General features: G+C 50.2%; 2 protein-coding genes and 1 long non-coding RNA gene across 8 annotated transcripts, besides 8 other annotated features; 1 reads left to right on the top strand and 2 right to left on the bottom strand.

Moving 5' to 3' along the window:
• Positions 264-775: an enhancer, noted in NCBI's record as "H3K4me1 hESC enhancer chr5:1815894-1816405 (GRCh37/hg19 assembly coordinates)". NCBI's record gives its function as "activates a minimal SCP1, AML or CMV promoter by ChIP-STARR-seq in naive H9 embryonic stem cells {active_cell/tissue: H9 hESC(naive)}" and the evidence as "EXISTENCE:reporter gene assay evidence [ECO:0000049][PMID:30033119]".
• NDUFS6 (NADH:ubiquinone oxidoreductase subunit S6) lies at positions 507-15148 on the bottom strand. Its single transcript, NM_004553.6, has 4 exons — positions 15006-15148; positions 14181-14234; positions 2094-2216; positions 507-704 (listed from the first exon to the last, which is right to left on the bottom strand). Exons 1-4 carry the CDS (start codon positions 15135-15137, stop codon positions 639-641), a joined length of 375 nt encoding a protein of 124 aa, NP_004544.1. The 5' UTR covers positions 15138-15148; the 3' UTR covers positions 507-638.
• Positions 14352-15339: an enhancer, noted in NCBI's record as "H3K27ac hESC enhancer chr5:1801330-1802317 (GRCh37/hg19 assembly coordinates)". NCBI's record gives its function as "activates a minimal SCP1, AML or CMV promoter by ChIP-STARR-seq in naive H9 embryonic stem cells {active_cell/tissue: H9 hESC(naive)}" and the evidence as "EXISTENCE:reporter gene assay evidence [ECO:0000049][PMID:30033119]".
• Positions 14769-14908: an enhancer, noted in NCBI's record as "active region_22315". NCBI's record gives its function as "activates an Ori minimal core promoter by ATAC-STARR-seq in GM12878 lymphoblastoid cells {active_cell/tissue: GM12878}" and the evidence as "EXISTENCE:reporter gene assay evidence [ECO:0000049][PMID:35858748]".
• On the top strand, positions 15121-18170 carry MRPL36 (mitochondrial ribosomal protein L36). 6 transcript variants are annotated; one of them, XM_011514080.3, is made up of 2 exons: positions 15121-15221; positions 17608-18170. In XM_011514080.3, exons 1-2 carry the CDS (start codon positions 15189-15191, stop codon positions 17929-17931), a joined length of 357 nt encoding a protein of 118 aa, XP_011512382.1. In that variant the 5' UTR covers positions 15121-15188; the 3' UTR covers positions 17932-18170. The 6 variants fall into 6 exon arrangements, with proteins under 6 accessions (XP_011512382.1, XP_016865240.1, XP_016865239.1 ...); XM_017009751.3 differs by lacking the exon at positions 15121-15221 and adding an exon at positions 15253-15317; XM_017009750.2 differs by lacking the exon at positions 15121-15221 and adding an exon at positions 16718-16745.
• Positions 15519-15648: an enhancer, noted in NCBI's record as "active region_22314". NCBI's record gives its function as "activates an Ori minimal core promoter by ATAC-STARR-seq in GM12878 lymphoblastoid cells {active_cell/tissue: GM12878}" and the evidence as "EXISTENCE:reporter gene assay evidence [ECO:0000049][PMID:35858748]".
• Positions 15709-15758: an enhancer, noted in NCBI's record as "active region_22313". NCBI's record gives its function as "activates an Ori minimal core promoter by ATAC-STARR-seq in GM12878 lymphoblastoid cells {active_cell/tissue: GM12878}" and the evidence as "EXISTENCE:reporter gene assay evidence [ECO:0000049][PMID:35858748]".
• Positions 16839-17248: a silencer, noted in NCBI's record as "silent region_15888". NCBI's record gives its function as "represses an Ori minimal core promoter by ATAC-STARR-seq in GM12878 lymphoblastoid cells {active_cell/tissue: GM12878}" and the evidence as "EXISTENCE:reporter gene assay evidence [ECO:0000049][PMID:35858748]".
• Positions 22117-22226: an enhancer, noted in NCBI's record as "active region_22312". NCBI's record gives its function as "activates an Ori minimal core promoter by ATAC-STARR-seq in GM12878 lymphoblastoid cells {active_cell/tissue: GM12878}" and the evidence as "EXISTENCE:reporter gene assay evidence [ECO:0000049][PMID:35858748]".
• LOC101929003 (uncharacterized) lies at positions 22687-23490 on the bottom strand. Its single transcript, XR_241722.5, has 2 exons — positions 22920-23490; positions 22687-22751 (listed from the first exon to the last, which is right to left on the bottom strand). It is a non-coding gene; the product is annotated as an uncharacterized LOC101929003 (long non-coding RNA).
• Positions 24062-24321: an enhancer, noted in NCBI's record as "active region_22311". NCBI's record gives its function as "activates an Ori minimal core promoter by ATAC-STARR-seq in GM12878 lymphoblastoid cells {active_cell/tissue: GM12878}" and the evidence as "EXISTENCE:reporter gene assay evidence [ECO:0000049][PMID:35858748]".

The raw sequence follows: 26839 nt of genomic DNA, 5'->3' as shown, positions 1-26839 counted from the left end.
ACTACATTATAATCCTTACTCTTTTAAAAACATAGACTGTCCTTAATGTGGCCAGTATGTGACTTTCGATGCCTTCAAACCAGTGCTTAAATTCTTGGGTTTTAAGATCTGACATTTCAACATAGGGACTAGGACGGACGGATAGACCAGCTCTGCAAGCCAGCAACAGGAGAGAGGCTGACCTTCCCATAGGACCAGTTGAGGCCTGGGCACCCTCCTTCACTATGCACCTCAAGACCCACCTTGGCTCTCTGAAGCACAGTTGCATCTGCAAAACAAGAGGCACTTCTCCTTCTCCTTCCCTGCCCCCCGCCCATTCCTGCAGCCCACGTGGCCCCAAGGATAAGAGGAGACACACAGAAGCAGCCGGTAAGGCAGGCAGCGGCCGGCAGGAGGCAGCTCAGGCTCACTGGAGCGGGCACTGCTTCCACTCGCATGTCTACCCATGTCCACGTGGATGTTCACTTCCAAAGCCCAGACTATGAAAGAAACAAACTTACAAATTGTCAGCCTTGACAGCAACACCCTTTATTCAGCACCAGGAATACCCTTCGCACAGAACCAGCGAGCTTCACGTGCTCAGCTTCCCCGCGGAAATGCTCACAGGATGCTGCGGGACCCCCGGCGTGCCACACGCTCTAGTGGTGGTGCTGTCTGAACTGGAGCCCACAGTAACCGCATGTGCCGGTTTTTGTTTCTTTGTCCTGAAAAAATTCAAAAGGAATGATGTCATATTTCCATATTCTACTTCAAATCTAGATATTAAGCATTGAAAATGTATGTATAAAACTTAGACTGTCAGAAACAAAAATACGCAGTTACTACTGAAGTAAGAATGCAGACTGTCGATCTCGGTTCCAGGCTGACCGAAGCCCCTGGCCTCAGGCTCCCACCCCGGGCTACGCAGCCATCCCCTAGGACCCCCAGGGACATCACTGTCAGCCTGCAGCTCCATTCACTCCCCACACCTCAGCGGCCTGGAGCAGGCGGTGGGTGCTGCACACGACAGTGAGGCACAACCAGGCTTGGCCTTCAGGGCTGGAGCCCAGGAGGGGACATGCCGGGTGCCCAGTCCCACTCTAGGCTGCTTAACCATTTATGCCTGTTACACTGTCCCCTTTTCAGGACAGGCAACAAGATAATGACAGCTTTTAATAAATGTCAGCTCTAACGAAGTTAAAGTCCCTTAACCAGGACTCTGCTTTGGGGAGAACACCAAGCCCAGCAGCCGCCTGAGTCCCTGAGTGCTCCACTGTCGGTGGCCTCCCCCTCTCCCTGCACCCCAGGTCAGCAGCCGCCCGAGTCCCTGAGTGATCTGTGGCAGCCTCCCTCCCACCCTGCACCCCAGTTCCACATCCCAGCTTCAGCCCACGGTCTCTTTCTCCGGTCCTGTGTTCTTTTTTTTCTCAATGGTCCTGTATATGACACTCATCAACAGGCATAAAAGATTACATAGGGATTGTTAGAAAATAAACCGTGTGCCCCCCAAAGTCCTAACCCCCGATGTGACTGTATTTGGAGATGGGGCCTTTAAAGAGGTGATGAAGGTAAACTGAGGTCACATAGGGGCCCTGAGCCAATCTGCCTGGTGCCCTTATAAGAAGAGGGGATGAGGAGTCTCCCACAGAGGGACGGCCCTGTGAAGACACAGGGAGGAGACCTCATCTGCAAGCCCCGGAGCGAGGCCCCAGGAGGAACCCACAGAGCGGCACGGTGGTCTTGGGCTGCAGCCTCCAGCGCTGTGGGAAATGTGTTTGTTGTTTTCGACCCCAGCCTGCGGTGCTGTGTGTGGCAGCCTGAGCTGAGATGATGACCAAACCGAGAAGGGCCCAGAGAGGAAAGACGCTTGGGCGTCCGAGAAGAGAAACATGCCGCCCACCACTTCACAGTTGAAAGGGGGTTTTCGGACAGGCGGCTCTATGTAGGCCCTGTAGTGTGGCGCTGTAGGGTGAATGTGCCAGCAGTGTGAACCCCGTAAGGGCCGCCTCGGGAGCAGGTAGAGAAGAGGACAGAAAGAACAGGCACTGGGAGTGAAGGGGAGTATGAGGACGAGCAGGCTGCCCTAACATGTGCACAGGTGGCCAGCTACGCACCAAGTTTATATACACTTTTGGGTGGCCAAGAGCTCCCCCGCCGCCATCGCACGCTATCACCCGAGTCTCCACCTCGCTCACGGGCTGCTCTGCTATCAAATCAATGGCAAAGTTTTCATTCACCTGGAACAAGAAGAAAGACTTACGTAAACAAATACACAAACTTGCTAACTACATACAATTTAACCCACCACACACAAATTCATGTACCATCAGCACGAATCTATGGTGCATGCTTCATTTAACTATTATCATTGTAGACCTTATTAAATTCAGGGCCTACACACACATCTACTTTTCACTGGAATAAAGTTCCAAACGCGGAGAGGCACTGCAAGAATCCCAGCAGCACAGAGCCTTTCCCTTCTGTCCCCGTGGACCCAGCAAATGCTGACACGTGCCCCGTGGGCTCTGCCACGCCCTCTTCTCCCCACCACATCGTTCTGTCCCACCTGAGGACATTTGTATTGCTCGGGCCTGTCTGTCACAGGCTCCCATGTGCGTTTCATAAGAACATTCTCTCACAGAACCTCCATGCAGTTATCCACCTCAGTAAACATGATACCGATGGAATAGATTTATCTAAAATGCCAAAAATGCCAGTAGCTCTGCAATCCGTTAGACCAACAATGTCCTTCCGGCTTTCCCCTTGGGCCACAGAGGTCCTGAATGCCGGTTAGGTTGTTCCTAAGTGTTTTCTCTTGTTTGCTGCTACCGTACACTGGGTCTCCTCATCCACTGTGTCTTCCACCTGGTCATTTATGACTCATAGGCATGTGCGGGAAAGACTCTGGTAACTTCACGTCCTGCTTGTGTGCTGATGCTTTCAGTTACTATCAAAACGGAATGAAAAAAGTGTCTCCATAATACCGCGATGGGGTGAAGGAGGACACAGGACTACGTGGAGATGCCAGGCAGTGGGTAAGTGGACAGGAAGCTTCCACTCATCCATGTGGGGAATACCAGGGGTCCGCCTACATATTCACTGATTTACATGAAATCCAAAGGAGAAAGCACTGAACAGTTACTACTGTGAGGTGGAAAGGAAGGAGGACGCGAGCACGATCGTTAGACTTTCTTCCAAGTTTTATAAATCTGACTGAGACTATATTTTATATTTTTCAAAGTTAGAAAACTAAACTTTTAAAAGAGACAAATGGACCTAAGGAATTCCCAACACTTTAAGAGAGTAACAGGAACATTTCTAACAGGACACACCTTAAGAATAAAACCGCTTCCAAAGCAAATGAAATTATTATTGAAAAATCAGGATTTTCAGTGTGGGGAAGGAAATAGAGAGGTCAGCTCACTGGTTCAGCAGAAGTCTTGTAACCCTGAACTAAGTTTGGAAGGATCAGTGTGACTCATCCCATGTCTGATGTTCACACACACCCTTTCTTTTCTTTTTTTGAGACAGAGTCTCACTCTGTCGCCCAGGCTGGAATGCAGTGGCGCGATTTTGGCTCACTGCCACCTCCGCCTCCTAGGTTCAACCAATTCTCTGCCTCAGCCTCCCGAGTAGCTGGGATTACAGGCACCCGCCACCACGTCCGACTAATTTTTGTATTTTTAGTAGAGACAGGGTTTCACCATGTTGGTCAGGCTGGTCTCGAACTCCTGACCTTAGGTGATCCGCCCGCCTCGGCCTCCCAAAGTGCTGGGATTACAGACATGAGCCACTGAGCCTGGCCTACACACACCCTTTCTAGCTCCATCCCCAGGACCATGATTAACTCAGGGCAATGAGGACCCCTGCTGCCCACATGGTGGTCTCTAAACACCATTTCACACCGAAGGGAAGGGACTGGATTCTTTCAAAAATGACTGATTCTGGGTCCAGGACAGGAAATGTTATAGAATGAACTTCAGACACTCTACTGTGGCACAAGTCAGGGAAGTTTTTAAGGCAACTAAGGTTGTGTTAAAAGAGGAGTCAACCCGGGGAAATTTGCCACATGGGATAATCTGGGATACAGGGAATTGGAGGGACAAGGGGATTATAACTGCAAAATGTGGAAACACAAATTTTTACACTCATGATTTCATAAACATATTTTAAAAACTCATTAATTACCTTACCAGGTACTATGGTTTGAATGTGCTCCCCCAAAGTTCCTCTGTTGGAAACTGAATAGTCAATGCAACAGTGTTGAGAGACAGGGCGGGGCCTTCAGAGGTACTGAGGTCATGAGGGTTCTGCCTCATGAAGGATTCTGGCTGCCCTCACAGGTGGTGAGCGGGCTCCTGGTAGAAGAAGGAGTTCAGTCCCCTTCATGCACACTCTCCAGTCCTTCCACCTTCCACCCTCACCAGACACAGCCCTCAACCTTGGATTTCCCAGCCTCCAGACTGTAAGAAATAAATCTCTGTTCCTTATAAATTATCCAGTCTCAGGTACTCTGTTATAGCAACACAAAACAAACAGAAACTAGAGAATCAACCCATTAAAGACTGGTAAATATAGGGAAAGAATCAAGTATTTCTTCTGATTTTCCTACAGAAACTTTACCTCAGCACCAAGGTTTCTTTTGATATAAGTATTCAACCTAATAAGATGGATAATATCATTTTACAACCCCTTATGAAATCACAGATGTAAGAGACAATGATCAAAGTCTCTTACTACAACCAGAACCAATTATATTATGTGCCTCCTGATGGACGGATACATCACCTATGTAGCAGTCTCACCAGGAACAAAACACTGACCCTCAATCTGATCAAGTCTTGAGATCCAACTAATTTCAAAACATGCAGAGACAAGAGACATGTTCAACAACACTACAGTGATGCGGTCAGTAGAATCCAGCTGTGGGTGACTCTACAGAGGAAATGACCCAGGTTCTTTAACAAATAAAATTCTCCAATGAGAAAGAGAGTGGGAGACCGATGGGAACCTACAGATTAAAAGAGACATAAGAGACACCAACAGCTGCATGTAGGAACTTACCTGGGCTCGGAGTCACACTGTAACATTTTTAAAAACATGCATGATCAAGAATATTTAACACCACTTAGATATTTAACTTAAAGAAAGTATAATTTTTAAGGTGTGATAATTATATTGTTGTCATGTTAATATATTTTGTTATTTTGTTTTTTTTTTACTTCCCTGTAAGATCTGAATGTTAGTATCTTTTGAAGGTACAGTTAATCCTTGAACAACTCAGGGGTTGGGGGAACCACCCCCAACACAATTGAAAATCTGCATATTATTTTTGACTCCCCCACAATTTACTCATAGCCTGATGCTGACCAGAATGTTTGCCAATAACATAAATGGTCGATTAACATATATTTTGCATGTTACAAGTATTATATATTGGATTCTTATAATAAAGTAAGCTAGAGGAAGAAAATGCAATGAAGGAAATCACAAGGAAGAGAAAATGAACTGACTTTTCATTAAGTGGAAGTGGATCGTCATAAAGGTCTTCATCCTCATCATCTTCACGTAGAGCAGGCTGAGGAGGAGGAAGGGAGGGTTGGTCCTGCTGTCTCAGGGGTGGCAGAGGCGAAAGAGAAGCCACTTAAGTGGACTCACAGTTCACACCTATGTTGTTCAAGGGTCAACTTACATACAGATAAATTTAGACTCAGTAACATGATGTCAAAGATTCACATCAACATTACCAGGGGCTGGGGGGCCGGGGGAGAGGCAGAGCAGAGCTGAGCCAGACTGGCCACTCCGACAACGATTAGCAGAGCTGAGCCGGACTGGCCACTCCGACAACCATTAGAGGAGCTGAGCCAGACTGGCCCCTCCGACAACTACTTCGGTTGGTAATTGTTGAAACTGACTGCCTGGATACATGGGAAAAGGGAATCATTAGACTATTCCCTCTGTTTCACAGAATTTATGTTTTTTAAAAAGCAATTAAAACATCCTGGCTTGGCAAATAATGTATTTGATGATGCTCACGATGGCAAATTTGGGAACTTGGAAAGGGGACATGCCTTGATTTCCTCTGACTCTGTAATGAGCCAGCCCCTTTCAGCTGCCCCTGGGAACAGTCAACGATTAAGTGCCAGGAAGACAAGGCACGAAGAACCGGGAAGCTATGGGAAGTAGAGCGCCGGCATCTGTGCATGTAGAGGGAAGGAACTCAACTCTACACCCCCAGCAGGCCTCTAAGCCCAGGGATGTGGGTCTACCTGCATGTCCCCTCCTGGAGGGCCAGCCCCGCCAAGCATGACACAACCCTCTGCCTCGGATGTTGCTCCTGGGGTTCCCCTGCTTAATGGCACAGCCTGAAACTTTGTGCTCCTTCTACAGCGTCCCCGCCCCAGAGTGGAAGCAGCAACAGGGCTCATCACAAAGTCACTCATTTCTGGAGACTAGAGGCCCATTCAATGCCACACAGTCACAGAGAACACACACGCAGTGGGAGGCAGGGCACCACTCTCCCTCACAGATATGTTTCGGAAAGGTTTATTTTTCAAGAGGTTCTGTCAGTTACAGATGACCATTGTGTAAAGCTTTTCCTTGAAGATCTATTTCCAGAAACACAGTAGGAAGTTAGTGGAAAATGAAGCCACATTAAAGCAGAGGCCTGAGCCGTGTGGCGCCGCCCAGGTTGTTCCACACGCTCCAGCAACACAAGCCTCTGCTGCCGGCCCGGCGGCTCGCCTTGTCGCAGCGCCTTACAGAGGGCTCTGGAGTGAGCGATGTTCTGCTCACCCCTGCTGCAGGCGATGCAACTAACCATACAAATTAAGCCTTATGGTGTAAATAATATGGTGTCTGCCTAAGTGACAACGTGTCACAAAGGCCGCACTAACAAACTGCCAGGCCCCGATCACGGCAGTCAAAGAGACCGGCCACCTCCCTGCAGGGAGGGCTGCTGACGCCTCGACACTGGCGACTGACGCGGGATGCCCTCCCGTCATTTAGTGTGCGCAGCTCAAGGGTGACCCTGACCGCCCATCACCAGCAAACGTCTGGCTCCAGGAGCTCAGTGCAACCGCAGGAATACAAAGAACCAGCAGTGAACACACCCAGCCACGACACAGAGCCCGGCTCCGGGTTCACACGGCCAAGCTCCGGCAGTGAACACACCCAGCCACAACACAAAGCCCCGCTCTGGGTTCAGACTCAAGGCTCCATTCTCACCTGCTTTCACCTGGGGAAAGGTGAGAAAAACTGAAGAGCGCTGCTGCACTTCACGAGGGAATCAAGGGAGAACCGTCACAGCAGCCCGCACGCCATCTCTTGTTAAGCACACGGCACATCATACACAGTGAAGTGTCCAACCTCTGTAAAATGAGTCCCTCGCCCGTCACTAATGTAAAAAATAGGAAACACTCTTTCCATTGACCTCTTGATGATCAAATGATTGGGCATAAAGATATGTAGGTTTAAATCTTTAGGAGTCAAAGTCCTATTGTGTCAAACTGAGATTACATCTATTAAAGATAAAACATAAAATATGTGATTCTGTGACACAGCATCAAAACCAACGCAGAAGGGAAAAGTCCACCAGCTGGATCATCGACACTGTAGAATACCGACCCCATTCATGGACATTTAAAATAAAAGTTTAAAATAAAGTAAAAGCTCAGTTCAATTATTTAGAACATCAGGCATTCTGAACATGAATGCCAATAATTATTTAAGCTAAACGTGTGTATACATGTCTATATAAGTATATAATTCTTAAATCACAGGCAAAACTGAAGTTTTCATTCAAATTAATTTTTAAACTAAGTAACTTTATAGAAAATGCTCTAAAAACCACAATTGAGCTGTCTGTACAACATGTTCAAACTTGCTTTGAGAATGTTGGAATCCAGTGACTAATTTTGCCAGTGCCTTGGAAGAGAAAGAACCACAAGACACAAAGACACAATAGAGAAGCAAAGACGAAGCTGGGGAGCTGCATGAGGGAGGAAATAAAGCCCATCTCGCCAGCTCACAAACAAAGCCACCAGCATGTGAACCTGGGGCTCGTGAATTCACAGTTCCAACTATTTTCCTCTGGGTCCTGGGATAAATAAACCTCACTTTATAACCATTATTTCTGACAGTCCAAGCCTTTCTAAAGGAAGCAAAGACCCACGGTTCTTATCCATCCAGAAGATTTCTTTTAAAATCCGATTGCCTTCACTCCACTATAAAGATGGCGTATTTGGGAGGGAAGCTCAGGAGGAGGAGCATGCAGAAGCGGGAAGCCACACAAAAGCTCTGGAGAGCAGCCATGGCGCACATCGCACCGCCCGCGTCTCAAACACCCCCTAAAGGACGCCCAGGTTGCTTCAAGACAAGAGAGACTCAGGCAAACCTCCCCTCTTAAACCCTCTAAGGATGAACCTGGAAGCAAGCACAGAGCTCCACCTCTGCCACCAACCAGATGACCTGCAAAGGCGGAGGGTGGAATTCCGAGGCCCCTCAATTCAATCTTCCTCTCACGGAGGACCTTCTCAGCCACCACTGTCTGGCTGGGGGCCTCACCCTAGCACCCATCCCCGACTCCCAGTCCTGTCTCCCACCTGGAGCTCCAGCGGCACCACAAGGGCACTTTCACAGCTCCCTCCTGGTGACGCCACCTCTTCCTCCTGCCCCCCAAGTCCTAGGAATAGTGGCTGCTTCCTGCAGCTACTGACCCCTGGGTACCTCAGCACTCCCTCTCAGCTCTCTGGTGGCATCCCTCCTGTGACCAACAGTGTGTGTGTGCACGCACGAGAGCCAACATGGTTCGGGTGGTGCTGCGCTGGCCTCAAGAGATGGCTCAATGTAGACGAAAGATGTCACAAGTTTCTTCCACTGCTGATCCGAGGAGTGCGCTTGTCCTGGGTGATAACACAAGTTACCACCACGGGTGTGCAGAGCCTCTGGAGGTGCCGCGTGGGCCCAGCCTCAGCCTCACTTGCTTCCCCACCCGAGTGTGCCCTGCCCTGCCGGCCTCTTGGGAGAAATAAGAATGAGCGACACCAGCCACAGAAGCCTCAGGGAGGAACCTCTGGTCAATTCCTGCGTGGGCCTGAAGCCACTTCCCTCTTAATTTTTTTTTAATTGTGGTAAAATACACATAACATAAAACTTGCCATCTTTACCATTTCTAAGGACACCACGTATATTCACATTATTGTGCAACCATCACCACCACCCATCTCCAGAACCTTCCACCTTCGTAAACTGAAACTCCATTTCCATTCAACACTAACTCCAAATTCACCCCCCGCCCCCGGCAACCACCAACTACTTGCTACCTCTAAGAAGCGACTGTTCTGGTCCCCCGTATCAGAGGAATCACACAGTGTTCACACAGTACCTCTGAGTACCTCACGCAGTACCTCTGAGTACCTCACGCAGTACCTCTGAGTACCTCACGCAGTACCTCTGAGTACCTCATACAGTACTTCTAAGAAGCGACTGTTCTGGTCCCTCGTGTTAGAGGAATCACGCAGTCTGCTTCTGTGACTGGCTCACTTCACTGAGCGCAACGTCCTCCAGGCTTATCCGTGTTGTGGGGCGTGTCAAGCGTTCTTCCTTAAGGCTGAATAATATTCCACTGTCCATGGACAGATCACATTTTGCTTATCCGTTCAGCTGACAATGGACCCCCAAACTGCTTCCAGATTTGAGTTATAATGAATAATGCTGCTATGACACGAGTGTACCCCGGACCCCGCTTTCAGTTCTTTTGGGCACACGCTCAGAAGTGGAACCGCTGGATTGGATGGAAGTCCTAGTTTCAACTTTTTGAGGAACCCACACGCTGTTTTCCTTCACGGCTGTGCCATTTTACATTCCCAGCAGCAAGGCACAAAGTTTCAGTTGCTCCACGCCGTCACCCACGCTTGTTTTCTGTTTGGAGGGTCTTGGTAGTTTTCCTCTCTCGTGAGCACTACTCAATTATTTCCATTAACGAAATCTACACACTCTTCTCAGAAGGATAAAACTTCACATTATCGCAACAAAACAGCACGCCAGGTAGACATTTGCACCGCGTGCAACTGCTCCTAATCCTGGTGGCACCACGCACCTTGAAGTCTGCTACTGAAGAACTGAGGGCCAGGCAGGTGAGGCCACAGGGTCACAACTGGACTCAACCCTGCCAGCCTAGGTGTCTCAGAAAACGTGCAGAATCTCGCTGACCCAAACGCCCAGCTGTGGGCTGTGCGGGTCAGGGAGTGACTCCGCCCTGCCGAGCATCTGAGGAGAGAATCCATCCCACTGGCGGGCAGATGAAGGCACAAGCTGAAGCCCCCAGCTGTTCCGTGATCCTGACACACACAGGTGGAGAGGGGTGGCACAGAGTCGCACTCAAGGGATCCCAGCCTCCTGATGTTCCGGGTTTGCTGCCTAATTCCTTCTTTTCAAAAACTAAAAGTAAAGACCTTGTGTATAGACACTAACGTTTAACTTCAGTATTTTAAAAAAATCTAAAAGTGAAGCCTGCCCTCATGGTGGTGGCGAAGGCAGCAGCAGAGTAAGGCGAACACACACTAGAGGCTTCCCTGGGACAGGCGCTGCTCCAAGCCTTTCCTCATCTACACGGACTCAGTGCCCACGAGCCTACAAGCTAAGTCACTGAAGCACACAGCCCTCATAAGCCCATCAGCGCAGGAGCCTGAATCCGGATGCGGCCAGGCAGGGCAGCCCCAGCTACTAACCAAAAAAGCAAATGATGTCGCCAAGTACCTGGCTACCAGGCTGTTGTTATTGCTGTTATTATTACCACACCTCACTGCAGACCTCCCCCAGTCATCCCTTCTATTAGGGGACAAGTCATATCTGCTTTTAATTTTACTTGTACGACTATAAAGCAATGAAAATATTTCCATCAACAGCAGAGAAATACCTGGTCACTTCCAAGTTTGTTCCAGTCCCCCATCTGACTTATGTGGCCCCAGAGTGCCACCTGCTCCAGGACCATGTGAGGCCTGACTTCTGGCTGGGGGTGGCTGGCACATTCTTTAGCACGTGAGGAGTCTCCTCACAGGCAGGCCCGTCACAGGCCCAGGGGCCATGGATTCCTTTGAAGGTACCCCCGGTCAAAGCTGGGCAGGAGCCACACAAAGATACTTTCCACTGTTTTTCTGCAAAGACCAGCTCAATTATCTAGCTTCCTGCTATGCTTGTTCTACAGGTGAAGTTCAGATTCAGTTTATTTTTTTCTTTTTTTTCTGGAGATAGAGTCTTGCTCTGTTGCCCAGGCTGGAGTACAATGGCATGATCTCAGCTCCCTGCAGCCTCAACCTCCCAGACTCAATGACCCTCCCACCTCAGCCTCCCACGTTGCTTGAGCTACAGGCATGTGCCACCATGCTAGGCTAATTTTTATATTTTTTGTAGACACAGGGTTTCACCATATTGCCCAGGCTGGTCTTGAACGCCTGGGCTCAAGTGATCAGCCCACCTTGGCCTCCCGAAGTGTTGGGATGACAGGCATAAGCCTACTGTGCCTGGCCCAGTTTACTTCTTAAAGTATTACTTGACAAAACTAGAGGACAGTACGATCAGGGGCTGCCAGGGGTTGGGCAGAGGGAGGGATGAACAGGCAGAGCACAGAGGATTTTTAGGGCAGTGAACTCGGTACAACACTGTCACAGTGAATACATGTCATTACACATCTATCCAAACCCTAGAACATACAACATTAAGAGTGAACCTGTGGACTTGAGTTAGTAATAATGTATGAGTATCAGCTCATCAACTGTGACACAGGCAGCACACTAATGAGAGATGGCAGTAAACAGCAGAAACTGAGCTGGGGGGCTGTGAAAACCCTACTTTCTTCAGTTTTTCTGTAAATCTAAAAGTGTTCCAAAAAATTAAGTCTCTCAGAAGCCAAACAACTACTACTAAAAATAGTACTAAACACCAAATTTGTGTTGAAAGAAGGAAAGCTTGGGCAGGATGCCCACTCATCATGTTATCAACATGCCTTGAACCTCCAAGGTGTGAGGCCAAGACGTGCCCTGGACACTCAGGATGCTGAATGGGGGAAGGCACTGGAGGCTAGGCCGGCTGGAGCGTTGAGGTCACAACCAGGACGCCCTGGGTGAGCTGCCGGTCACAGACACTACTATCACACTATCCCGTACCCACCCCTCACTGGCTTCGCCAATCCTGATTCTGTTTGGTTTAAGTTGTTTCCCACTACCCTATGCTACACCAACCAGAAACCAGAAGCTACACAAAGAATGTTCAGCAGAGAGGCGTTTGTGACAGGGACCCACATACTTGCTTCGTCACTACAAGAGCTGAGATAGGGAGCTGGGCTGGAAGCCAGATTGCATGAATGAGCCCAAGGGCTTCAGGACCAATCTGCTCCAGAACTGCTCAATCTGGGGCTCCTACCTTGCCCCCACGACCGTGCCATAACACCCACAAAGCAAGGATGTAGAGTCCAGCCACTACCTCAGTAACAACCACCCATCGATGCCCAGGAAACCTCCGTCACCACGGTCACTGCCAAAAGAAACCAAAGGGCCTGCGAACCCTCCCCACATCCATCGGTTTCTCCCCTTCTCCACGGTCACCACTAAAAGAAACCATACCGCATCCACACTAAGAGAAACCTCCCCTTCTCCACGATCACTGCCAAAAGAAACCAAAGGGCCTGCAAATCCTTTCAACATCCATCGGTTTCCACCTTCCAAATGTCAAGTTCATATACCTAACAAGAATGCCCAGGACAGCCTGCACACGGAAGAAATGTCCCATTCGCAATGCCATGAGCTCCTTTGTGTGAATCACTGGGATACAGCATTGGAGAATGTGGCACATGGAACAGATGCTTCTACTGGGAATACACTAACAATTCAAACAACAAACAGAAAAGGGTTTCTGAGGATGGAGAGAAAGAGCACTTACCCTATACACCACTTACTCGACAACTGACAGTGTGATATCACTGGAGACTTATGATTCAATTAAAAATATTCACATGGTTCCATTTCACAAATGAGAAAACTGAACCCATGCTGTGATTCAACCTCACAATTTTTAGACTGCAAGTCCACACAGCTTCTACTCCGAGAGGCAAACCCACCAGACACAAGCCCCTCTCCACCACCATGATCCTGGTAGACATCACTAATCAATCATGGCACACTCTTCCACTGAATGTGCATCAGGCCTCAGGATCTTTCTCAACCCAACACTCAAGTGGCATTGCCAAATAATCAACCACTATAAAACAAACTTTTCTGACACCCACCCATCAAACCACACAACAGTGAACCAGCTGAATTTTGAGAATGTGAATTTATAGTCAATTCATGATCATGTGAGCTTTTCTGGAATGCCCTGTAGCTCTGGAATAGACGTACAAAAACTACACACTGGGAATGGATAACGTAACCAAGATTGAAGGAGAAGGGAAAATACATGATTTAGGGATAGCTACGGTGTTAACAAGAAGAACACCAGGCTAACCAAAGTGGGAAAAAGAATGAATAAGGTGGCTGTGAAGGACACTTCACAGCATCCTTCAGGAAGCAAATTCAGGAATCATGGAGGCATGCCTGATCTAATTACGAATTCAGGAGCTCATTGACATGAGTGATAGAGAAGGAGTCAGGTAAAAAAAAAAAATAGGCTGATTTAGGCAGAAGGATTCTAATTTCAACATTCTTTCTCCAGTGGTCACTCACAGGCACCTGAACTGATCTTCCCTTACAATGCATAGAGCTAACAGACCCACTAAGGGAAGAAAAACTCATGTGCCATTTTCAGCTTGTCAGTGTAAGTCCCTGTAAAAAACACACACTAATTTATTTGGTGAAAACTATAAAAAACACACCTCCAGGTGGTTAAAAGAATAATTTTTTTAAAGTTGATATGATTTACTTAAATCTGAGAGTCTCAGGAGAATAAGGGACAAGAATTTTAAAAAAGATCACTTCCATTTATATGCAAACCAGAACTACGGCTACAATGTTATGTATTTCAGGGGGAAACAAGTCAGAAATAGACACAATTAAGATTTTAAGAAAGGAAGAACCCCATCCAGAACTGTTAGGGTGCTTGCAATATGGGGAAAATTTATTTAAATCTTATATATTAATTTTTATTTCTTGTTGGTTACATAAAAGTTTTAGGAAAGCTTACCTCTCTTCACTAGATTTTTTACTCACCTCTTTCTGACGACCTACAAACCGAATTCTCCTGTAGTCTTTATCATCATAAACCTGGAAAAAAACAAAAAGACCATGTGTGACTTTTACGGCCTAATTCTGAAAGTCACTTCATATCAATCATAAATATTACAGGAAAGTGTTTTTCTTAACTTTTAGGCCATTGATGAAAAGTCAAACAAGTGCACAGTACTCGGTGTAATCAGGGGCATTTTTAGCGAGATACCTGGGATGAAAACGGGTGGTCACCTGGATCAGAGAGCAGCACAGAGACATAGCCCGGGAAGGTGGAGCTAAGGAGGAGAGACAAATCCTGACCGAGGAGAACCGCCCCCAACCTTCTTTGGCATATGGCCTGAGAGCTTTACTATCCCCCCATTAAATCTACTAGGGCACATTCCAGTATACACAGGTACCTTTGTTCTTCATTTTGGCTTAGGGCTTTTTTGTGCCTTGGACTACAACCGACTTCTCAGGTTACTAAAATTTATTATTGAATATTACACAAATTCTAAACGTTCTGACCCAAATAATCGGCTGCCACAAATCGCCTATGGGCAGCCAGTCCACAGCAAGTGCTGCCCGCTGGGGAGACTTCCCGTTCCAGAGCCCGCAGGCCCTGGAAGGACGAGACCCACCGCTACAGGCTGCCACCACCGTCCCGACTCGCGGGCGTCCTCCCCGGCGCGTGAGCGACAGCACAACCTTACCACGACCTGCGCTGCCGGCGCAGAACCAGGGCCGCGGATGCCCGGCGAGCCCACTGCCACCAGTCGCCCGAGGTGCGGCTGGAGGAAGGTGCATCCTGTACCCAGCGGCCGTTACCTGGCCAGTGTGCGTGACCTTCTCCCCGGTCGGCGAGACCCGCACCCCGAAACACCTGGCGCCCAGGGGCAGGCTCCGCGCCGCCTCGCCACACCGGTTCAGCAGCCGGCAGAAGGTCATCGCCGCCGCCATTTTGCGCCGCTGGCCTTTGACCCGGCGCAACGTCCCGCTTAGCGCTAACGCATGCGCACGGCTTCTGGCGGCGCCAAACACCCGGTATTTATTTCGCCCTGGGGGCGGGGAGCGCGGGTCGGGGCAGAGGGTGCGCCGGAGCTGCTCTCTGATTCAGGTGGTCACCCGTTTTCATCCCAGGTATCTCGCTAAAAATGCCCCTGATTACACCGAGTACTGTGCGCTTGTTTGACTTTTCATCAATGGCCTAAAAGTTAAGCGGCCCCGTTGCGCCGGCAGGTGCAGCCTCATGCAGTTGCAGCCGCAGGCTAGAGCTAGGGCCCTGATGAGGCAGGCAATGGTGTGCGAAACCTTCAGCGATTAGGAGTACCCAGTGGTTCTTATTTAGCGGACAGGCAGGGGAGGATGTAAACTGAAAATACATTGTTTATATTCTTATGGTAACCGATAATCATGAGACATTTAAATATCAAAATTATTGGGTGAAGGAGTCAACTGCTTAGCAGACGAGACTGGAAGTGCATTCTCCTCGTTCAAGGCAAGCGTTCCTGTGTGTGGTTACGGGGAGCCGCAGAGGAAACGTATATTGGGGATTTCTGCAACAAAGCCTAGTACACCGACTGATTTTACAGCATGCAAATACAGCCTCTAAAAAGGCCCGTTTTGCTTAGAGTTGACTTGGGTATAAATCCCAGCTTAAGCTCCAGCATCCAGCTTTTCTTTTGCTGTGGTCAGAGCCTGAGGACCACGTGACTCCAAGAACAAAACACTAGAGATGGATGAGTGGCGGGGAAGATGATAAAGAGGAGGAAAGGCATGAGAAACAAGAATGCACATGAAAACCTCCGGTCCCAAAGATGTCCCAGCAAACGTGGTGGTCAGAGGCAGATTTGTCCTGGAGCTGATAAACTCCAGCGGCCCGCCCGGTGTTCGCCGGGTCAGGTGGAAAAAGTGGGCGCTGCGATGAAGCGTTGGGGCCTGCAGGGAGCGCGGAGTGGACGCAGCCACGTCTGCAACTCACCCGGACACACACAAAAAGGAAGGCGAATGGAGTTACGGGTAGATACCTGAAAAGGCAGGGATAAGCGAGCTAAGGGTAGAATCTAGGTGGCAAGTATATGGGTGTTCACCGTACAGTTCTTTCCCTTTTTCTCTATGTCCGAAGTTTTTCATAATGTTGGGGAAAACAGCCGTAACCAGTTGAAACTACTGCCCGTCTCCACTCGTTTCCCGGAGCCTGTTTACATTTCTCCTGTCCACTTAAAAACATGTCCTCTTTCTCAGTTTGTTTTGACATTGGTATTTGCCAGTTTTTTCTAAGGCCTAAGTGGTTGTAATTTCTTTTTCGTTGCGGATATCCATTTTCGTTCCTGGTTTTTGCATTTTTTTTCCCGAGAGCGCTCCAAACAGCACGACGATCCCGGTGGCCCGCAGAGTGCGCGCAGTCGGGGAGTGATACGTCGCACTCCAGCGCCTGCGCACTCGCTGCTGCGTCTCTGCGCCCCGCACTGGACGTGGGCACGCCACGTGACCCCCCCCCCCGCCGCCATCTTCCTTCCTGGCAGCAGCGTCCGCGTGCCAGTGCGCAGACGCAGGGGTCGGCGCCGGGTGAGAGCGTGCGGCCGGGTAAGGGAGCCGTCTTCTCAGGTCAGGGGTCCCGGGTGTCTTGAGAGTGGGGGCTGCGAGAGGGTGGGGCCGGCCACCTTGGGACCCTCGGGCGTGTCTCCCCGAGTGGGCTGCGGTCAGAGGAGCGTGGGCCGGGGCCTGGCGGTCTCAGAGGGCCAGGGTTGGGGGGTGCGGGTCCGACCGTGGGCGCCCGACCTGGCGACAGGAGGGGGTGTCCAGCGACCCCGGGGCGGGAGAACTGGCGGCTCCCGAACGCGACCTCACAGCCCGCGCGCAGGGCCGGCTCCGGTGCCGCAGTGTCCTCCGGGCCCTGCAGGCCCAGCTCTTCCCAGCCGGGGCCGCTGAACCCTAAGGGCCGGGGCGCGTGGGGAAGCAGGGGCGGGCGACCGGGGTGCCAGAGTTCCGTGCTCTTCCGGAGCGGGGGCCTGTCCCGAAACTGGCCCGAGGGAGGGCCCCTGGGTCTGGGAAGAGTTGGAGGGAGGAGCTCATCAGTTGAACCGTCCTTGACCTGGTGTCTGTTTGGAAAGGGATGCGGCCTAAGTTTAAGCTCCCTCCCAGCCAAGTGAGCGGCTCCTCAACATCGCAGGGCTTTGCACACTCACCTACACTTGCAGCAGGCGGGAAAGGGAAGGAAGCCACCGTCCACTGCCCCTTATTCTCCTGGCACACTTGGCTGATTAAGGCAGTGTTCAAGCTCAGGTCGAGGCTGCAGCTGGTATGGGAACACCCTCAGTCCCCGAGGTCCCTGCCTTCCCAAGCCTCAGTGAAACAGAGAAAAGGAAGCCTTAAAGAGCAGGTGGAAGTGCAGGAGAAGCTATAACTCCTTTTTTTCTCTCTCCCATAGATTCACCACAACATGGCAAATCTTTTTATAAGGAAAATGGTGAACCCTCTGCTCTATCTCAGTCGTCACACGGTGAAGCCTCGAGCCCTCTCCACATTTCTATTTGGATCCATTCGAGGTGCAGCCCCCGTGGCTGTGGAACCCGGGGCAGCAGTGCGCTCACTTCTCTCACCCGGCCTCCTGCCCCATCTGCTGCCTGCGCTGGGGTTCAAAAACAAGACTGTCCTTAAGAAGCGCTGCAAGGACTGTTACCTGGTGAAGAGGCGGGGTCGGTGGTACGTCTACTGTAAAACCCATCCGAGGCACAAGCAGAGACAGATGTAGACCCTTTCCCTCCAGAGTCACGCACATACTCGTCATCGCATCACTTGGGAGAATGGTTGTATCTTATGGAAGGAATTATCACATCAAGGAGTCAGGGGAAAGTGACTGGAAGCAAACGCCCTAAAAGTTACCCATCACGTTTCAGTGTAAATGAGTAACTATAGAAGACATTGCGTTATCTTATTTCCAAAACGTTCCAACTAAAAAACATTTTCCTATTAAAATAGACCTTCCGAATAGCTTAGTTCATTCATTCTCTCTGAACTCAGGCTGCAGGTAGGGATTGGATGGTGCTGGGTGAGGCTGGGCAGGACTTCTCTATGTCTCCGTGAGGCTGCTTAGAGCCTCTTGGAAGAAGTGGTGTTTTGGTCACCCGTCGCTGTACAAGCCAAGGCTTGGTGGCTTAAATCAGCCATTTTACATTGTTCACGATTTTGTGAGGCATTTGGGATGGGCTCAGCTGAGCAGTTTGTCTGATCTGTGTGGCATTAACTGCAGGACCCACTTCCAAGATGGCACCGGCTCTCCTGTCTGGGGTCTCAGTGCTCCTCAGGCTGTACGTAGCACCTCCTCAGGCAGGGCCCACAGCGTGGCTTGCACTGCCCCACAGTGAGCTTCCCGAGAGTGTCCCGAGAGACCCAAGCAGATGCTACGAGGCTTCCTATGACCCAGCCTCAGAAATTCCAGCGTGTCATTTCTACCGCACTCTTTCAGTCCCTAGGGTGAGCCCAGATTCAGGGGGAGGCAAGGAGCTCCCCTTGCTAGAGGATGACCACACCTACAACTGGTAAGGACTTGGAGGGATGGAGTGGGCTGGTCCTTCCCTGGTCATCGGGATTCATAGTTGAGTGAGCCCCATGCCTTGGGGGAGCACTGTCATCAACATGAATTTGGGGGTGGGGAGCACAGTCCAACCCAGAGCAGATGCTGAGATGCGACAGCCTTCTCACGGCTCCTTTCCTCCTGGCCAGGGACACCTCCCCTTCTCCCAGAAAGGAGTTTTGTGAGACAGGAGACCACGCAAGAAGCCTAGCGCGGGGGGAGCGCCCTCCTGCCCAGATCAGCAGCAGGGGCGCAGCAGGGTCACCCAGAAAGGCCTGGTGGGGCGGCAGAGGGGGCAGCATGGCCACATGAGGGCCAAAGCTCCTCCCCAGCACCCACATCACTTCTCCAGGGGGAGCAGACGCCGGTGTGTGTTGCTGTGAACTCTGTGCTGTGCCCATTCACCCTCACAAAGGGCCTCTGCAAGCAGCTTGACATGGGCATTGCAGCCCGCAGGCGTCTGGCCAGTTGAAGAAGGTGGAGAGCGTTATTACCTGAAAGAAAAGGGAACCAGCTCTGCGAAGAGCCTGCTTCTGTTGTGCAGTGAAAGGGAAGCCCTCTCTCGAGCCGTTCTTAAGTGAGGAGTTGATGCACTAGAGTGTCTGTCACGGGGGCCCCTGAAAGTGTCAGAAGCCAGACCCCACTAGGAGACCTGTTATGCACTGGGGCTGAGAATAGTTCAGCAAGAGAGAGGACTTTCCTCAAGCGTGTGTGTGTGCGTGCATGTGTGTATATGGCACGTGTGTGTGCATGCATGAGTGTGTCCACATATATACGCGTGTGTCTGCATACACTACCTGAACAGGCAGTGTGGGAGGGTGTGATGGGTCAGTGGCACCGCTGTAGTGACCCTCAGCAGACTGCAACCTTCAGCCAGCGTGTGCTGTCCATGTCTCTGATCTCTCACGGGGTGGGTGATGTGGTTTTGAGAACCACAGGGTCCTGACAGCCCCCAGCATGGCTTGCTGATGCTTCCCGAGCACCCTTAGCCTGGGCCCTGGGGTGAGGAGGAGAAGAGGTGCTGCTGCCCTCACACCCTTACTGCGTAGGAGCGTGTGAAACAGGCTGGTGAGTGCTGTGTGTGAAGCATGCCAGGCCCTCCAAGGCAAGAGGTCAAGGATGCTCCCTGCAGGGGATGACGGCCAAGCTGAAACTTTGGTTGCAGGGGAGGCAACCCGAGGAGGGGCCTGAGGCTGGGCACGGGCAGGGGGCATCCAAGCCATCCTGCGTGGATGAAAACTGGGTGTGTTTCTGCAGTACGCAGTGCTCTGGGGGGAGACCTGACCACCGGCTGCATGCCTGCAGTTGGGTGTGATGTGCTTACGTGCCATGCAAACGTGGGCACACAGTCGTGGCCTCTTGACAATTGCACAGACAAATCCCCAGCAAGGCAGCGTGGCACAGGAGCCAACAGGAAGGAATAAAGAAGGCATGGATTTCATGGCACGCTTGATCCAACGGGGAAAGGTGGGATTCTGCTAATTTTGCTTGAGTAGAAATCTAAGGCTGATAATTACCTATCCAGGCTTCAGTCCAGAATAAGTGATTAATAAAAGAATTCTGCAGAACCAGGCCAGGAATCCTGGGCATCGGCACTGTGGACATCTGGGGCTGGGTTGTGCTCCGGGCCCATCCTGGGCACTGCCGGGTGTTCAGCATCCCTGGGCTCCACCACAAGATGTCGGGAGCACCCCACACACAAGCAGGGCCAACCAAAAGTGCCCCAGACACTGTCAAGCACTCCCTGGGGGGCAACACGTTTCCCCATCAATGAACCAGGGTTGCTGCCGCCTGCCATGACGAGGGCTGGGATGCAGGTGCACCACTGGGAGGTGATCTCGGAAGTCAGGATGGGGAGTGGGGATGTGAGTCAGGGAGGGAGAGGAGCTTCCAGGGCACAGAACCAGAGCGACACCGGGTGCCACCTTGTTGTGTCCCCTGAGCTCTGGCGGAATGGACCTTGGTGTCCTGTAGGGGATGAGGACTGGGGGGGGGGGGGCGTTTATCCACAGATGCTCGTCACTGGTGGTTGAGGGTGACCGTGTGGGGACTTAAATCCCAGGCACTTCCAAGCCACCCAAAGGTGGGCTGAGCAGGTCCTCATGGGCACAGAGAAAGGCGACTGCAGAGAGAGGAGGAGTGGGCACGTGGGCCGGCAGGGTCATCCTGTCAGGAGCTGTCCCTGCACTCGCGAGACCTACGGGTGGCCTGGGGCCCTGCCAGATGCCAGCCCTGTCTTGCCAATGTCCTCCCTGTCTCCTGAAGGTGTGGTGCCAATGAACTGAAAGACGGATTGAAAATACTGTGAGAAGTTAGAAGTGCTATTCAGGTGTACGTTATTAGGTTATTCTCTGAGGGACTTTTAAAGTAAGATCAACTGGGGACAGCAGTGCAAGTGAAGGAAGAGTAAATGATGCCCAGATGGAGAGAAGAACATAGGAGCTGTCTATGCATTTCCAGAAGGAGGCGAGGTGCTCTGTGGGACGCTGTCATGTTTGTATCCACCTAGGAGGCTACTCACGGACCAGGTCTAACTGATGGACCACCCACCTGGCAGCGTCGCTGTCACTCACCCAGGAGAGTGGGAGGCGAGACCGGCACTCCCAGGGTCCAGGTCTCCTTCCTGTGCCGGACCGGTGGGGGCTGGGGCTTCCCTGCCTCCCTGCGAGTGGGCATGGCTGTGAGACCTGCTGTGGCCTATGAGGCTGGCTGAGGGTCACCAGCAGGGTCTCCGAGCAGAGGTGATGTGCTGCTTTGTGGCGGAAGCACTCCACGCGGTGCATTCGTTCTTCCCCCAGCGATGGTGGAAGTGATCGGGAGGTGGAAGAGCCGGTGGAAGAGTGTTGATCCTGTCCATTCCTCAGTGTCCAGCCTCCGGCAAGAAGCTTCCATGGAAGCCTCGTGTTTAAAAGGGGGCAGGCGCGACCCAGCCCTCCCACAGGGTTCTGGGAACCCAGAGAGCTGGGTGCTGTGGTCTCAATGTTTGTGTCGCCAAAAATTCCTGTGTTGAAACCTAATCCCCCGTGGGAGTGCTTTGGAACGGGGCCTTCAGGAGGTGACTCAGTCCTGCTCCAGGGCCTTGTGATGGGGTTTGGGCCTGAGAAAAGGGAGTCCAGAGAGCCAGCTCGCCCCATCCACCATGTGAGGAGGAGCCCTGTCTGTGAGCCAGGAAGCCCCACCAGACACGGAAGCTGCCGGCGCCTTGATGCTGGACTTCAGCCTCCAGATCTGTGAGAAACCAGTTTCTTGTCTGTAAGCCGTTGGTGGAATTTTGTTATTGCAGCCCGGACAGATGAGCATGCTGCGTGGAGGCAGAGCCTGCTTCCCAGCCGTGTTTGTGTCCGTACGTCTCCCACCAGCCCAGCCTGCAGCGGGCACTCGGCCAGCGAAGGCAGACCAGCACCTCCGTGCCTGCTCATGAGAGGAGGCCCGCCTCCTGCTTGCTCACCCCTTTTAAGGCCAAGCTCCCATTTTGCTCTGTGGACTTTGCTGAACGGTCCTGCCCAAGAGAACCCTCAGCACCTCTGGCACTGGAGTGTGGGACAAGTTTGACACTGGATTTTTCTAGAAATACACGTTCAGCGAAGGGCAGATGTGAAGTCAGTGGTCACACAGGCTCCTGGTAACCACAGAGCCCTGCAACAAATGGTAACCAAGCAGCCCTAGGGCAAACGGCGTGGCTCGCCACAAGCCATCTCGAAACTCAACGCCAAGACATATTTCTGAATATTAAATATGCAAAAAAAAGTTGTACAACCGTGTGCAAAATACGTTTCCATTTAAGTAAAAAACATAAATCTAAGCACGTTTTTCGAAGCCACCGTATTTAGGTAACTTTGTAAGAAAAGTTCTGCAGCAACACACTGCAAGACAGTGGTTGTTTTTACTTCTCAAGGAGAGGGGAGAACAGACAGGTGGGAGTGAAATGTGAGGTTCCCTTTCTGTGGGTTTTAATTTTGTTGAGGAGTTGTGTTTATATCTTACTTTTATATTGATACCTAGAAAAACATAAAAATTCGTCAACAATATGCTTTGCCAAAATAATCTGAGCAATGAAACAACTGTCAAGGAAAAGTGAAGTCCCTGCCCACCCACTCCACGCCCTCCCGTTTGCCAGTCAGGCTCAGCCCCTTCTCTGGGGCTTCCTTCCCATCGCAGCCACTCACCATTTTTTCCGCTTACTCAGATTGACCATGTGTCTCCCACACACAGAGATGATTCTCAGCCCCATGGAGCTCGTTTCCAGGCCTTGGAGAAGAGGAGCTGAGGGCCCCGCCAGGAAGCTCTGGGCAGAGGCTTGTGCCCAGGAAGAGCCCAGCCTCAGGGCCCTGCTCTCCAGCTGGGGCTGCAGCTGCCTTCCTTTCCCATCTTGCTGGTGTTAAACAGAGTTCATGGGAATTACTGAGCTGGATTCCAGCGCTTCCTGCCAGGAGGCAGCTCCCCTGGGAAACCTCCTGCCCCCCAACCCGAGATGGCTGCACGGTTGCTTCTCCCGCAGCTGGCTGCTGCGTTCATTCTCTTTTTCTTCCTTTTGGGACTGCAGGCTCACCAGCTCACCCAGCACATAACCCGGTAAATACTTGAACTAGTATCACCTGTTGCTGAGCATGTCTTTAATCTTAAAAGGATGGAGTGGAATCCACGTTCTGCCTCATTACCACGTTGGCGTGTCTGAGCTTCAGTGTGGCCAACTGCATCAAATGATGGTCTCCTCCACAAGTCCATGGCTGGGCCACTGCCAGTTGTTGTTGATAAAGTTTTATTGGCACACGCCCCCTCGCTCATTTATGCATCCTGTGGTCTGTGTGTGTTTCCTGCTGCCACAGCAGAGTTGAGTCATTGCCTCAGAGCACAGAAAGGTTTTGCTCTCGGGCTCTTTGCAGAAAGCATTTACCAACCCACTTCTATTCTAGGACATTCACCGCAGCAAGTGAACCCTCTGCCATCAGAGCTATGCTGTGTGCAGCTGTGTGTGAGCAAGGGTAATTCCACTCTGAAAGCCGTGTGTGCAGAGATTTGGGGAGCCCTGAGACTCTCATTTCTGCTCTAAAGACCTTTGAACAACCGTTACTTATTTTTAAAAGTCAAAAAGTTTAACTAGGCCAGGCACAGTGGCTCATGCCTGTAATCCCAGCACTTTGGGAGGCCAAGGCGTGGGGGTTCACTTGAGGTTAGGCGTTGGAGATCAGCCTGGCCAACATGGTGAAACCTTTTCTCTACTAAAAATACAAAAAAAAAAAAAAATCAGCCGGTCATGGTGGTGGGCACCTGTAATCCCAGCTACTCAGGAGGCTGAGGTGGGAGAATTGCTTGAAACCAGGAAGTGGAGGTTGCAGTGAGCCAAGATCACACCACTGCACTCTAGCCTGTAGGACAGAGCAAAATTCGGTCTCAAAAAAAACAAAAACAAAAGGATAAATAAAAAGAAGATTTAGAGAAGATGCCATAGTCTCTCCTTCCTCCCTATTGGGAGCAACACTCGTATGTTCACATCACATCACACCTTGCACATGTGCACGTGTTCTGCACATGTGTCTTGGACTGCCTGGACGCAGTCCCAGGCAGGATGACACTCTCCTTCCCTTCATTACTCAAATTATTTTTGACTTGTGTTGTTGCAAAATTTAAATCTTGAAAGAATGTGCTCTCCCTAAATTTAAGGTGTAAAACCCTAAGAACTCAGGGAATCAGTTTTCATATAAAAGTACTTTGGAAAAAACTGTGACAGATACTATTTATTTATTATTGTTTTTCTAATTATACCAAATATAGCAATTCTCTTTGGCTTTTGTTGAGTAAGTGGCTGGGTGAGAAACAAATTGTATAATATTTTATTATTGTGCATTACATGCCTGTCGGCTTTAGAAAGACACCTCTCTTGTTCATCCCAGATGAAGACAAATTTAAGATTGAAAAGTGGGGAAAGGCCAGGCACAGTGGCTCATCCCTGTAATCCCAGCACTTTGGGAGGCTGAGGCAGGAGGATTGCTTGAACCCAGACATTCAAGGCCAGCCTGAGCAACATGGTGAAACCCTGTCTCTACAAAAATACCAAAATTAGCCGGGCATGGCGGTGCACCTCTGTGGTCTTAGCTACTTGGGAGGCTGAGTTGGGAAGATCATCTGAGCCTGGGAGGTTGAGGCTGCAGTGAGCCATGATCGTGCCATTCCACTCCAGCCTGGGGGACAGAGTGAAACTATCTCCAAAAACAAAAAAAAAAAGGGGGGGGAAATTTATTTTGTTAATTACACTTCAAGTATACTTCTTTAGAGGATAAGATGATTTAAAAAGGAATGAAGTGATATGTTAGTTGCTTGTGACTGCCATAAAAAATTACTACAAACTGTAACATAAGAAATGTATTCTCTCACAGCTCTGGAGGCCAGGTGTCCAACATCCAGGTGTGGGCCAGGCAGTGCTTCCTCCAAAGACTCCAGGGGCGGATTCCTCCTGCCTCTTCCAGCTTCTGTGGCCCCAGGTCATTCTGGGCTCTGGCCACAGGGCTCCAACCTCTGCCTCTGTCTTCGTAAGGCCTTCTCCTCTGTTCTGGGATCTGTGCCTTCTCCTCTTCTTAGAAGGACACCCGTCATTGCTTTAGGGCCCACCCTAATCCAGGATAATTTCATCTGGAAATTCTTAATTACATCTACAAAGACTCTATTTCCAAATAGGATCACATTTCGAGGTTTCAGGTAGACAGGAATTTTGCGGGGGCTGCTAGTCAACCCACTACAGTGGTATAGAATGTTTTTGAAAATAATTTTAATTTAAATTAGTATTACTAGATAATGTGTTCACATGGTTCAAAATGCAAAAGACACCTGAGTTGAAGTTCTCTCCCGAATGCGAGACCCAGTTTCTCTCCCTAGAAGCCAGCAGGATTATTGGCTCCTGCAGGACCTCTGGGCTCTATCCTGTGAGTCTCTAAACAAATGCCTATAATTCTTGTTTCTTTCCTGTCTTGTGCACCGTCTTGCAACCTGAGGCTGCATCTGGACAGCAGCTCCTGCCGGTGACCCAGGGGCATCCCCATTCTTCCCCCAGGTGGCTGCATCCTTCATTTTCTGAAGATGGTTTAGGATATGGTGAGCATTATTTATGACTGAGGGTGTTTTTCAGCATTTATGCACAATTTTATCTTTTCTCACTCCTCTTTTTGACTTTTAAAGCATTTTCCCCCTATTTTATAATTAGTGGTCATGATTCCCAATTAGAGGTTAATTGTTTTTTTCTCCCAGTTCCCACTTGTCATTTCCTATTTAAAATGCATGGAAGAAATGAGGAATGCATACAACAAAGAAAGCTGTTTTGCATTGCATGAGAAATTGACTCTGGCTGTGTCAGTGTTCAGAAACATGCTGTCAGGAAGCCAGCCCCGGGAGTCTTAGGACCCACCCAAGCAGCTCCCCAGGGTGGAAATGAGAATTGCTTCCCCTGGCTGGCCACCACTAAAGATTCATTGTCTTTTCCTCAGAAAGCGATGCATGTTTTTCCTTACAGAGTGATGCTGTTAGTCAACACAGGATGAATTGCTACCCAGAAATCCTGGCGGCCTGTCTGCCGTCTCTCAGGAAGTCTGGAGGCACGCTTTCTCCTAAGGTTTCTGTCGAAAGCATAATGGTTCTTTCAGTGGTTGAGAATGCAGTCACCTATTCCAAAATTGTCATCGATTTCTTATGTATAATTTTTATCAGTTTAAGTAACTAGCATGCTGTTTGAGATAGGATAAAGGCATTTCCTGTGGTCAGTGAATCAAACTCTAAGTCTTTACTCATCCAGCCAAGTGTTTATTAAGCTGTTATCTTGAATCACGCACTGTGCCAAATGCATGGTATGTATATAGATTCACGTATTAGGAGAGTCCTGCCTGATCATCCAAAGATGAACAGCTGGTTATAAATTGTGTCCACTTCAAACGAGAAGGGATGAAAATAGCAGTGTTACTGGTGGAGGGTGCCCAGGTTCTTGGTGTCTTGAACAAAGAATTGGACAAACAAAGCAAGGAAAGAATGAAGCAACAAAAGCAGAGATTTATTGAAAATGAAAGTACACCCCACATGATGGAAACAGGCCTGAGCAAGCGCT

The sequence above is a fragment of the Homo sapiens genome, chromosome 5, assembly GCF_000001405.40.
Source record: "Homo sapiens chromosome 5, GRCh38.p14 Primary Assembly".
In the NCBI taxonomy this organism is placed as follows: domain Eukaryota; kingdom Metazoa; phylum Chordata; class Mammalia; order Primates; family Hominidae; genus Homo; species Homo sapiens.
Note: the sequence above shows the minus strand (reverse complement) of the source record. Positions and strands in the feature narration are given on the sequence as shown.

Excerpts from the sequence above, each read along its gene's own strand:
- NDUFS6 (NM_004553.6), bottom strand. The coding sequence starts at position 15,137 with ATGGCGGCGGCGATGACCTTCTGCCGGCTGCTGAACCGGTGTGGCGAG. Across the intron at positions 2,217-14,180 it reads TTGTAGGTCGTCAGAAAGAG|GTGAATGAAAACTTTGCCAT; the intron begins GTGAGTAAAAAA and ends TTCTTGTTCCAG. Across the intron at positions 705-2,093 it reads CAAAAGTGTATATAAACTTG|GACAAAGAAACAAAAACCGG; the intron begins GTGCGTAGCTGG and ends GAATTTTTTCAG.
- MRPL36 (XM_011514079.2), top strand. The coding sequence starts at position 17,293 with ATGCGGCCTAAGTTTAAGCTCCCTCCCAGCCAAGTGAGCGGCTCCTCA. Across the intron at positions 17,479-17,607 it reads TCAGGTCGAGGCTGCAGCTG|ATTCACCACAACATGGCAAA; the intron begins GTATGGGAACAC and ends TCTCTCCCATAG.